This window comes from Homo sapiens, chromosome 12, assembly GCF_000001405.40.
Source record: "Homo sapiens chromosome 12, GRCh38.p14 Primary Assembly".
Classification (NCBI taxonomy): Eukaryota; Metazoa; Chordata; class Mammalia; order Primates; family Hominidae; genus Homo; species Homo sapiens.
Genome location: NC_000012.12, coordinates 52803690 through 52815139, shown reverse-complemented (window position 1 = coordinate 52815139; position 11450 = coordinate 52803690). Strand labels below are relative to the sequence as shown.

At 49.2% G+C, this 11450-nt stretch overlaps 1 protein-coding gene across 1 annotated transcript, besides 2 other annotated features; it reads left to right on the top strand.

The window, feature by feature from the left end:
• On the top strand, window positions 1024-8591 carry KRT4 (keratin 4). The gene is made up of 9 exons (NM_002272.4): window positions 1024-1543; window positions 3163-3377; window positions 4324-4384; window positions 5662-5757; window positions 6290-6454; window positions 6721-6846; window positions 7276-7496; window positions 7747-7781; window positions 7890-8591. Exons 1-9 carry the CDS (start codon window positions 1082-1084, stop codon window positions 8069-8071), a joined length of 1563 nt encoding a protein of 520 aa, NP_002263.3. The 5' UTR covers window positions 1024-1081; the 3' UTR covers window positions 8072-8591.
• Window positions 1452-1953: an enhancer, noted in NCBI's record as "H3K4me1 hESC enhancer chr12:53206971-53207472 (GRCh37/hg19 assembly coordinates)". NCBI's record gives its function as "activates a minimal SCP1, AML or CMV promoter by ChIP-STARR-seq in primed H9 embryonic stem cells {active_cell/tissue: H9 hESC(primed)}" and the evidence as "EXISTENCE:reporter gene assay evidence [ECO:0000049][PMID:30033119]".
• Window positions 2119-2319: a silencer, noted in NCBI's record as "peak1735 fragment used in MPRA reporter construct". NCBI's record gives its function as "represses an SCP1 promoter by STARR-seq MPRAs in K562 erythroleukemia cells {active_cell/tissue: K562}" and the evidence as "EXISTENCE:reporter gene assay evidence [ECO:0000049][PMID:32103011]".

Sequence of the window (11450 nt, the reverse complement as noted above, 5' to 3'; positions counted from 1 at the left end):
AGAAGGGATCCATAGGTTTCATCATTCTGCCAAAGGGATCCCCAGCAGCAAAAAAGTTATGAACTCCTGCCCTGAATTCTGCACCATTACAGAAAACCAGAACACACCTAGCAAACAACTGGACAGCAAATGGAGCAGCAGAGTGCACACCACCAGACCCCGCTGGAGAACGCCCATCTAGAATTGTGCAAGCACAGATTGAAGGGAGGCCTGCGGGGCAGCATGGGTACCCAGGGCTGAGAAAGACAGTCACGGTTTTCTTTGGGGAGGTGTTTTGTCTTCCCCCATCTCCTTAGTACCTAGCTCCATGCCTGGCAGTTTCTCAGTAGCTGTTGGCCAAGTTGAAGTGAATCTGGATCTAGGTTGGAAGGCTAAGGCTGGAATACAGAATATTTCCCCTTTTTATAGGTACATGGAGCCAAGAACATGTGGAGGAATAAGAATGCTAAGAATGACAAATATACATGTGGCTTTTGACAGTTTACAGAGCACTCCATTAATCACTAGCTCACTCTATCCTGAGAAGTGGCAAGGCAAATATTTGTATTACTTCCAATTTACAGGGAAAGCAACTGGGCCTCAGAGGGTGACTTGCTCCGGTTTGCAGAGCTAGGAGGTGGCAGGCTGTGCGCTCAAACTCAGGCTGTCTAACTCCACATTCTGTGGGGTGAGAGGATGGGTGATGGGGTGTCTTTTCTGGAGGAGGGAGGTGCTGTGAGCCTAGCGAGATGGAGGTACAGTGGGTGTGGGCCTGGAGCGCTGGGCCCAGGCAGGGGCTTCTGATTAGGAAGCCCTGGGGCACCAGTTCAGGTTCTCCCAGAGAGTAGTGTGATGGGATCCAGTAACCTGTGCCCTCCAGATGACTTCTGTAGGTGTGTTTAGTGACATGCTCAACGGGTGCGGGAAGGATGGGCTTGTGCCAAGGGCCAAGCCCAGAGATGTTTCAGATTTTTCCCTTTATGCCCCTGCAACCAAGCCCTGCTGCTCCAGGACATATAAGAGACGAAGGCTGAGGGCTCCAGCACTCACCGGCCTGGGCCCTGTCACTTCTCTGATAGCTCCCAGCTCGCTCTCTGCAGCCATGATTGCCAGACAGCAGTGTGTCCGAGGCGGGCCCCGGGGCTTCAGCTGTGGCTCGGCCATTGTAGGCGGTGGCAAGAGAGGTGCCTTCAGCTCAGTCTCCATGTCTGGAGGTGCTGGCCGATGCTCTTCTGGGGGATTTGGCAGCAGAAGCCTCTACAACCTCAGGGGGAACAAAAGCATCTCCATGAGTGTGGCTGGGTCACGACAAGGTGCCTGCTTTGGGGGTGCTGGAGGCTTTGGCACTGGTGGCTTTGGTGGTGGATTTGGGGGCTCCTTCAGTGGTAAGGGTGGCCCTGGCTTCCCCGTCTGCCCCGCTGGGGGAATTCAGGAGGTCACCATCAACCAGAGCTTGCTCACCCCCCTCCACGTGGAGATTGACCCTGAGATCCAGAAAGTCCGGACGGAAGAGCGCGAACAGATCAAGCTCCTCAACAACAAGTTTGCCTCCTTCATCGACAAGGTGAGCTGTGTCCTCGGCTGGAGAGGGGCAGTTAGAAGAGAGGGGTCCTGAGTCCTGGGGTCTCAGACCTGAGCCTGCCACAGGTGCTGGGGAGACCACTGAACTTCCCTGGGCCCCAATTCTCCAGCTGTTGAAGGGGCATCATGACTTTGAGCCTTCCTTTTTGTCCCGTGGCTGGTGGGAAGGTGGGATGCTCAAGGCAGTTAAGTGTTTGGAATTCCCTAGACAGGCTGTGGGATACTGGACAAATCATTTGGCTTTTCTGGCTCTAGTCATCCCAGCTATAAAGGGGGTTCATTATTTCTCTGCTTTTTCTCAGATTTTGGTTTTGAATATAATGCAGTTAACCCCATTAATCACTTAACAGTGGCCACTTCTGTTCTTAGAACAGAAGACAACTAAGCTGATTTTGCAAATGAAAAAGGGACTGGCTCCAGTGGCAGATTCTAGGTCTCACCAAGGCCTTGGAAATTTACTTTTTTCATTCCTTTGACTGGACAACACTGCTCATGTCTGGGTCTGTTTGAAGAAAGGAGACAGGTCTCTTTTCTTTTTGTAGCCCAACTTCCTTTTTCATGCAACGTCTAGAAGTTCAAGTTCTTTAAGCTCAGTTATGGTCATGCATGATGGATGATAGTGAGCAGTGCAGCCCCAGAGAGCCGAGTCATCCAAAGATTGATGACTGGGTGGATGAGTGCCTCCCTTTGGTCCAGGTTGCCCTGGTTCACCAGGCATCAAAGTCTTGGGCAGCTTCGACATATGGGGCAAGAATGAACACTTTTGGAATAGAATAAGGTGCATATTTGTTCTTCTTGCTAGTTTGAATAAACCCATAGTAACTTAAAGAGGTTTTACTGTGACTATAGGACATGCAGATGTGATAGCAAAAACTCAGGGCTCTTTGATGCATCCTTGTCTCATCTCATCTCATTTTACCTTTTGGGTTCAAAATGTGATCGGTCTGCCTTACCTGCTTTCCTTTCAATTCTGAGGCTCATAACATGGAAATGTCATGCTAAGCTGCTGTCCTGGTTTGTCTGGCTAGATTTTTTCATAGAGAGAGGGAAAGTTCAGGAAAGTCCTTTGCAGAATGGAGTTTAGGTGAGACAATGCGTACAGGGCCCTTGTTTTAAATATCTATACTCAGTTGTTCACAGGTTCACAGGGACACGCCAGATCCATTGATAAGTAAGCTTATTTAAAAAGTCTGTAGTGACTTTGTCTTTCATTTGCCTTGGGTCAGGATCACTTTGAATGCAAGAGCCTCCAGATTGTGATGTCTCTTAATTTTATTTTGTTATTTCATAGAAGTTTAATGTTCTTTGGGGCTTTGGGTGCCTGCGGCTAGGAAGTTGTTCTTGTTGCACTGTTAGGCCCTGCTTCTCTGGCTGTGCTCTATTCTCCACAACCTATGTGACCCCTTGGTGCTATGGGCTCGAGAATGGGGCCATCATGTCAACCCGAGTGAATGGTGCCCTGGAGATGCAACATAGTGGCCCTACTTGGGTGGTTCTTGGGCCGTGTAGTTCCCTGGGATTGACTGGGTTGGTGTTGCCTTGGCTGGCCCTCCTGCCACACTTCAGGCCCTCATCACTTGGCTGGTGCCTTTATCAACACAGGTGCAGTTCTTAGAGCAACAGAATAAGGTCCTGGAGACCAAATGGAACCTGCTCCAGCAGCAGACGACCACCACCTCCAGCAAAAACCTTGAGCCCCTCTTTGAGACCTACCTCAGTGTCCTGAGGAAGCAGCTAGATACCTTGGGCAATGACAAAGGGCGCCTGCAGTCTGAGCTGAAGACCATGCAGGACAGCGTGGAGGACTTCAAGACTAAGTACATGGGGAGGAAGGAGGGGACGCCATCTGACACATGTGCCCAGCCACACCCAGGCTCCCGGGGCTCTCTCCAGTGGCTTAGAATCTCAGGCTCTGAAGGCGTCTAGGAAGGCCCTCTAGTCTGTTTTGCTACATCCACATAGTCACGTTTTCTCAGGGTGAGGTCTGGTAACCACAGATTTTTCCGAAAGGAAATTTAATGATAGATTCAGGGATTTGGGTCTGCCATATACGAACAAGATCAGAACCCAAATAGATGAAAAGCAGTATAGTATGATTAGAAGAATACAGACTGTAGAGACAGATGGAGGTGGTTTGCATACTGAGTCCTCACTTACTAGCTGTGTGACCTTGGGTAAATAGCTGAACCTCTCTGAGCTTCAGTTTTATTCATCTTTGAAATGGGGATAATATTCCTACTTTATGGGTTGTGAGAATTAAATGGAATTAAATGAAATAGAGAAAGCATGTGGCATATTTCAGGACACAGAGTGAACACTGAATACACAGCACCTCTCATTAAACTCACTATGGGATAGGACTGACAAAATAAATACCAACCCTGTCTCTCAATTCACTCACCCACCAAACAAAGGGAAATGGAGTGTGCTGATGACATTGCTGAGAATTTAATCTGCCAAAATGGCCAAAAGGACAGCCCTTTCAGGGACATTAAATCAACTACATCATTGCTGGGTTTTCTATCGAAAACAGTCTCTTTAAAGTTTGGTTTTCATGTATCTGAATAAACCCTGGCCTAAACGGGTACTTCCTATATTCAATGAATATAGGTTAAATGAATATCTGTATGAATATGGGAAATGCAACTAATTACGTGGATATTTCCAAATTTGTTTGGAAATGCTTGAAAACAAGCAGCAGAGATCTGAGAAACACCAGCTCACTGTGGGTTTTTGTCTTTTTCTCCCCGTGCCCACCCCCAGGTATGAAGAGGAGATCAACAAACGCACAGCAGCCGAGAATGACTTTGTGGTCCTAAAGAAGGTAAGAGACGAAGGATGGTAGGGAGTGCCTTCAGGGTGCCCCTTCCCTTGGGGAGTGGTCTTTGGCTGAAGTCATGGGTTTGGTCCATCTCTGCCTCATCCCTGCTTCACTTGGAACTATCTAGATCTATATAGTCAAGGAAAGTGGGTAACCAAACCAGGTTCTAAGAAATTAAGGTTGGGAGGAAAGCCTATTTGCTTTTTTTTTTGAGATGGAGCTTCACTCTTTTTGCCCAGGCTGCAGTGCAATGGCGCGATCTTGGGTCACTGCAAGCTCCACCTACTGGGTTCAAGCGATTCTCCTGCCTCAGCCTCCCGAGTAGCTGGGATTACAGGCATGCACCACCACGCCTGGCTAATTTTGTATTTTTAGTAGAGACAGGGTTTTTCCATGTTGGTCAGGCTGGTCTCAAACTCCTGACCTCAGGTCATCCGCCTGCCTCAGCCTCCCAAAGTGCTGGGGTTACAGTTGTGAGCCACCGCACCCAGCTGATTTTTATTTTTATAAATTCATGGGGTACAAGTGTAATTTTGTTACGTGGATAGTTTGTGTTGTGGTGAAGTCAGGGCTTTTAGAGTATCCATTGCTGGGATAACATACATTATATCCAATAAGTAATTTCTCATTATCCAGCCCCTCCCAGCCCTCCCTTTTTCAAGTCTCCATTGTCTATCATTCCATGCTCTATGTCCACATGTACACATGATTTAGCTCCCACTTATAAGTGAGGACATGTGTTATTTGTCTTTCTGTGCCTGAGTTGTTTCACTTAAGATAATGGCCTCCAGTTCCATCCACATTGCTGCAAAAAGACATAATTTCATTCTCTTTTTATGGCTGAGTAGTATTCTATTGTGTATATGTATCATATTTTCTTTATCCAATCATCTGTTGATGGACACTTAGGTTGATTTGGTATCTTTGCTATTGTGAATTGTGCTGCGATAAACATGAGTGCAGGTATCCTTTTGTTACAATGATTTCTTTTCCTTTGAGTGGAATTCCAGCACTGGGATTGCTGGATCCAATGGTAGTTCTATTTTTAGTTCTTTGAGAGATCTCCATACTGTTAGAATAGCCTATTTGGATAATCAACTTCCATGTCTTCAGGTGGCTCTAGGGAAGAATATATAAAATAATTGGTCTCCCACCAGCTCCCCTGCTGCTGAGTAGTCTTTCCTAAATGCTGCTGAGAACACCTGTCGGTGTCACTTAGTAACCCGTCCTCCTACTGGCATTCCTGCTCCTCATCTCTTATCCTCCTTACTCCTCTGCAGGACGTGGATGCTGCCTACCTGAACAAGGTGGAGTTGGAGGCCAAGGTGGACAGTCTTAATGACGAGATCAACTTCCTGAAGGTCCTCTATGATGCGGTGAGGGCTCCATCCTCCCCTCCATCCAGGGAAAGGGAATCCCCCATCTGTGACGCTGCTGGTTGGGATTCACAGTTTTTTGAAAGGACTCCAGCTCCCTTATTTTAGGGCAGTGGGTTCTCATCAAGGTCATGCATAGAAAGGTTTGAAGTGGGAAATTCAACTGGGAGATTCTTAGAACCAGATGTGGTCTTGGTCTTAGACGGGGTGATTAGATCTAAAGAGTGCTTGGAATAGAATTCATTGCTGTCTAGCATTTTTTTTCTGGTGAAATGGATCCATTCCCTTCCCTTCCATTCCAACACACCGGCACTCACTGCATTAGAGTGGCTTATGGTTCCTGGGGACCAGTAAAGACTAGAAGCATTGCTCTTCCATCCTGAACTGTCACAACCACTTGATTTCTCCTTAGAACTTTACCTGTCTCTCCCCTTCCTACACATTGTGAATGCCAGCTCTGCTCCTACTTGAGCCTGTATCAGGTCAGTGAAGGCTTTCCTGGGGGGGCTGATGTGAGACATTTGCCCTGCAGGAGCTGTCCCAGATGCAGACCCATGTCAGCGACACGTCCGTGGTCCTTTCCATGGACAACAACCGCAACCTGGACCTGGACAGCATTATTGCCGAGGTCCGTGCCCAGTACGAGGAGATTGCCCAGAGGAGCAAGGCTGAGGCTGAAGCCCTGTACCAGACCAAGGTGGGTGGTATGGATCTCTCAGGAGATGGGGCTGGCTCTGGGGCTCTGCTTTTGATGTCTGTGAACAGGTGATCATTAGCTCAAGCCCAATAGAAGTCAGATATGAACAGACTCTCCCAGGCATCGTTGGTCCTGGTCTGATTTGAAACTACTTGACATTTGGTGCTATTCTTGCCACCTGTGGCAATTCTCACTGAGTTCACTTGAGAATGGACCCTACCCAAATGCCCCTAACACCTGGTTCTCTGTGTCTTCTTGAGTCTTAGGTCCAGCAGCTCCAGATCTCGGTTGACCAACATGGTGACAACCTGAAGAACACCAAGAGTGAAATTGCAGAGCTCAACAGGATGATCCAGAGGCTGCGGGCAGAGATCGAGAACATCAAGAAGCAGGTGGGTGTCACTCCCTTCCAGATGGAGCACAAGGCCAGGGGCCTCAGGCAGACATCTCCAGAGTGGACAAGCAGATAAAGCATCAGGCCAGAAGACCCTGAGCTTGTTGCTGGGAATTCATAGCTCTTTGTGCAAGGCATACCCAGATTTTTTCAGCAATATCCTAGTTGGCACACCATGACGCTCCTGTGCATAGGTTTCTTGGCTCTTCTTCATGGGTTTTTGCTCATTTTTATTTAATCAGTCTGGTGGAGGCATTGGTGGGCTATGGCTGGAGTGAATGAGATGCATAAGTCTCAGGGAAAGTGGGCAGAACAGATAGAATCTTGACATCCTAACCCAAGGAAAGCTGGACCAGGGGAGGGGACAGGTGTAGAGGCCTTGAAGGCAGGGCACTGCTGACCACCTATCTAATGCCTTTGTCAATAGTGCCAGACTCTTCAGGTATCCGTGGCTGATGCAGAGCAGCGAGGTGAGAATGCCCTTAAAGATGCCCACAGCAAGCGCGTAGAGCTGGAGGCTGCCCTGCAGCAGGCCAAGGAGGAGCTGGCACGAATGCTGCGTGAGTACCAGGAGCTCATGAGTGTGAAGCTGGCCTTGGACATCGAGATCGCCACCTACCGCAAACTGCTGGAGGGCGAGGAGTACAGGTGAGGGGTTAGGCAGGGTGTGAACATGAGGGCCAGAGAGGTCCAGGGCCATGAGCTTATTTATGCCTCTGCCGGGCTGCAAGCATCAGTGTTGTGCCGGTGCATTACGAACCAGGACAGCTCAGCTAATAGGTTCACACTGGGCCCTCAAACTCAGAGGCTGCTCAAGGATAAGAGAGGTGAGTGAGGCATGCTTATTGAACAAAATTCTGTGCTCCCTGAGGCTCACCGCCTTTTCTTTCCCCTACAGAATGTCTGGAGAATGCCAGAGTGCCGTGAGCATCTGTAAGTACCTTCCACGCCTGCTGTAGTTGTTCATTCACCCGGGTCTTGCCAGACCCCTGGGGTGCTGGCAGCATTGGAATAACTGTGTCTTTTGTGTCTTTTCTGCAGCTGTGGTCAGCGGTAGCACCAGCACTGGAGGCATCAGCGGAGGATTAGGAAGTGGCTCCGGGTTTGGCCTGAGTAGTGGCTTTGGCTCCGGCTCTGGAAGTGGCTTTGGGTTTGGTGGCAGTGTCTCTGGCAGTTCCAGCAGCAAGATCATCTCTACCACCACCCTGAACAAGAGACGATAGAGGAGACGAGGTCCCTGCAGCTCACTGTGTCCAGCTGGGCCCAGCACTGGTGTCTCTGTGCTTCCTTCACTTCACCTCCATCCTCTGTCTCTGGGGCTCATCTTACTAGTATCCCCTCCACTATCCCATGGGCTCTCTCTGCCCCAGGATGATCTTCTGTGCTGGGACAGGGACTCTGCCTCTTGGAGTTTGGTAGCTACTTCTTGATTTGGGCCTGGTGACCCACCTGGAATGGGAAGGATGTCAGCTGACCTCTCACCTCCCATGGACAGAGAAGAAAATGACCAGGAGTGTCATCTCCAGAATTATTGGGGTCACATATGTCCCTTCCCAGTCCAATGCCATCTCCCACTAGATCCTGTATTATCCATCTACATCAGAACCAAACTACTTCTCCAACACCCGGCAGCACTTGGCCCTGCAAGCTTAGGATGAGAACCACTTAGTGTCCCATTCTACTCCTCTCATTCCCTCTTATCCATCTGCAGGTGAATCTTCAATAAAATGCTTTTGTCATTCATTCTGAGCAATGGTCTTTTTTCCCTGGGGAGAGGTCTCTAGAATCCTGTATAACTAGATAATTTTGGTGAAGGTGTATGCTTGCGGGTGTGAAGGATCTGTTTATACAGATCTGGGTCATCGACTAGTTTCTCAGGTCTCTACTTCTAAGTTACTCAAATTATTGGGGGAGAAGTACAGTGTACAGAGGCTGAAGGTTGCCTACAGGGCAGTTGTACAGATTGAAGGGGCATCCAACAATTATACACACATTGTCCATTGTAGGGCACCCTGGGGTAGCACCATTTCAATGCTGATCCTGGAATAAACCTGGAGGGAAGGGGTTTAAGTCTGCAGGTGGGGGGCATTTGATAGGTGTGAGAGAAGCAGGCCAGGGGTCTCTGCTGAATATAGAGCAAGAAGTTATGGAGCTTATGAGAGTGCTTATACTCTGTGTCTAGCAAGGCCTCCCTATTTTCATGAAATTCCATGCATGGGGCTAAATCTCACTGGCCCAACAAGGCTTTCAGGAACCTGTTCCAAGAATCAACAAGGTCACGGTTGTTGGAGGGAGGTGTGCATGTGTGTCATTCTCCTAGAGTTTTCATGAGCTGCTCACTTCCCCAGCTCCTCAGGGGTGCCTGGGGTTATGTCTGTGGTGCTGTCCCTGAGTGGCGAAGAATGTTGGAGGTGGAGCAGGTCTTCTGGAGCAGGAGTGGAGGGAGCTGTCTAATTACAGAAGCGGGGAGAGGACAGTCAGAGGTGGGGGTCTGGGTAGATTTGGGGACACCCTTTTTCTATATTGGACCAATTCCAAGTACCTGGAGCAGCACAGTCTCCCCTCTTCCAAAGATTTCCCAGCTCCTGCTCTGCAGTCTGACTCGAATCAGTTTGCTGCAGATGCAGAATGCACTCTCTGCCTTGGCCACCCTACTGTGCCTCCCACCCTTGACTGCCGCAGAGTTCATTCAGACTCCAGTTCCTCCAGCCCTGTGTCCATGGGGCCTCATGGTGTGCAGGCAGAAAGGCACGTCGTTTGCCCAAGACCAGTCCTTGCCCATGGGAGTCTCGTGCAGATCCAAGGTAGGCTCAGGGTTGTTCTGCCTTTGGGAAAGCGGGGACAGAGTAGCAAAGGGTTAATCTCAGGGGCTTGTGCTCTCTGGGCAGGGGACTTTGCCAGGAGCAACCTGGGCTCTGTCCTTCATCAGCCTGGCCCTAATATCCCCATTGTCTTAGGGCTCATTGAGCCCCATGTGTCAGAACAGGAAGTCTCTGCAGCTGCATTTGGTGGCTTTGGCTTCTTCCAAGGGCTGCACTCCTCCCCTGGCAAAATGCAGATGGGCTCTTTTTTTTTTTTTTTTTTGAGTTTCTGGGAGTGGTGAGGAGGAGTTAAAGGTTGGAACTAGGGGTGGAGCTTCTCAGGTTCACCCACCAGGAGGCTGCAGGTTGTGTTGGGCCTCACAGAGAGGCAAGGGGCAGGTTAAAGCATTTCTCATGCCCCCTGAGTGTGGGAGCAGCCAGCCTGAGCAGCCCTCCGTGCCTCTCAGCATCTCTTTGGTTGAACTCAGTGATTTACACTGCAAGGTCAGGCCGTAGATTATACGCGTGTATGTGCATCTTAGAATAAATGTGTTTGTATTCATAGGCACATGGCTATGTGAGTGTGTCAGCGTTTCTTATTTATATAAAAAGTCTCTTAGGTCGGGCACGGTGGCTCACACCTGTAATCCCAGCATTTTGGGAGGCCAAGGGGGGCGGATCATGAGGTCAACAGATCGAGACCATCCTGGCCAACATGGTGAAATCTCGTCTCTATTAAAAATACAAAAATTAGCCTGGTGTGGTGGCAGGCGCCTATAATCCCAGCTACTCGGGAGGCTGAGGCAGGAGAATCCCTTGAACCCAGGAAGCAGAGGTTGCAGTGAGCCGAGATCACACCACTGCACTCCAGCCTGGCGACAGAGTGAGACTCTGTCTCAAAAAAAAGTCTTCTATTTTACATAAAAAGGAAAAGCCCTCATGTTGGTCTCTGTTTCTAGAACAGTCCAGGAGAGTGGATCCTGGCCTTGATTCATATGTTTGAAACTGGCTGGCTAGTCAGAGGGGATTATTTGGGGTAAATATACTGCTGAGATAATAGACACCACCCTTCTCTCTGATCCTTCGAATTGGATTCTGGCCAGCTCCTAGTGCTTAGGAAACAGGGAGACATGGCTTGCATTATTTACCCCGTTGGAGGCCCCATGCTCTCCCTTTTCTTTTAAATCCTTTACCTCTAAGTATACGGAAATCACTTTTCACATCTGAAGAGCCCAACTGCAGGTTGGCAAATCTCTAACTTGGTTTATTTGGCTCATCTGCCCTGACTCCATTCCCCAAGATCTTGGCTCCCAGCCCTGGCTGCAGCCCCACCATCACTTTGGCTCAGGCACCTGTCAACTCCTGAACAACTGCTATGTTTGCATAGATCCCTCCCACCTCACCAAGACCCTCCGCTCTGGGTTCAGCCCTCTCAGTTCCAGAAAGTTCTCACCAATACTTCTGAAGTCTCCCTACCTCGTTGCTAGTAAACCCAGAAGGTTATAGCAAAGAGGGGCTTATTTCATGTCCCACTGTGGGGTTTTGTTTTAACTTGCTGACGGGGCCCAGGCTTTGTGTTCTAAGACCAGAGGACCTCAGAATAAGGCATGGCTGCTCCCATGTCTTGGGTGGATGTTCAGGGTTTAGTGAGACAGCTACGTGGGGAAATAGTTGAGGGGGCTGTGCCCCCTTTGTGGGCCCTCAGGACATGGTAACAGTGGGCCAACGAGGGACAAAGGGAGGGAGCAGGCTGAAAGGAAAAAAGCCATTTTAGCACCTGTTCCATTTTTTTTCCCGTGTT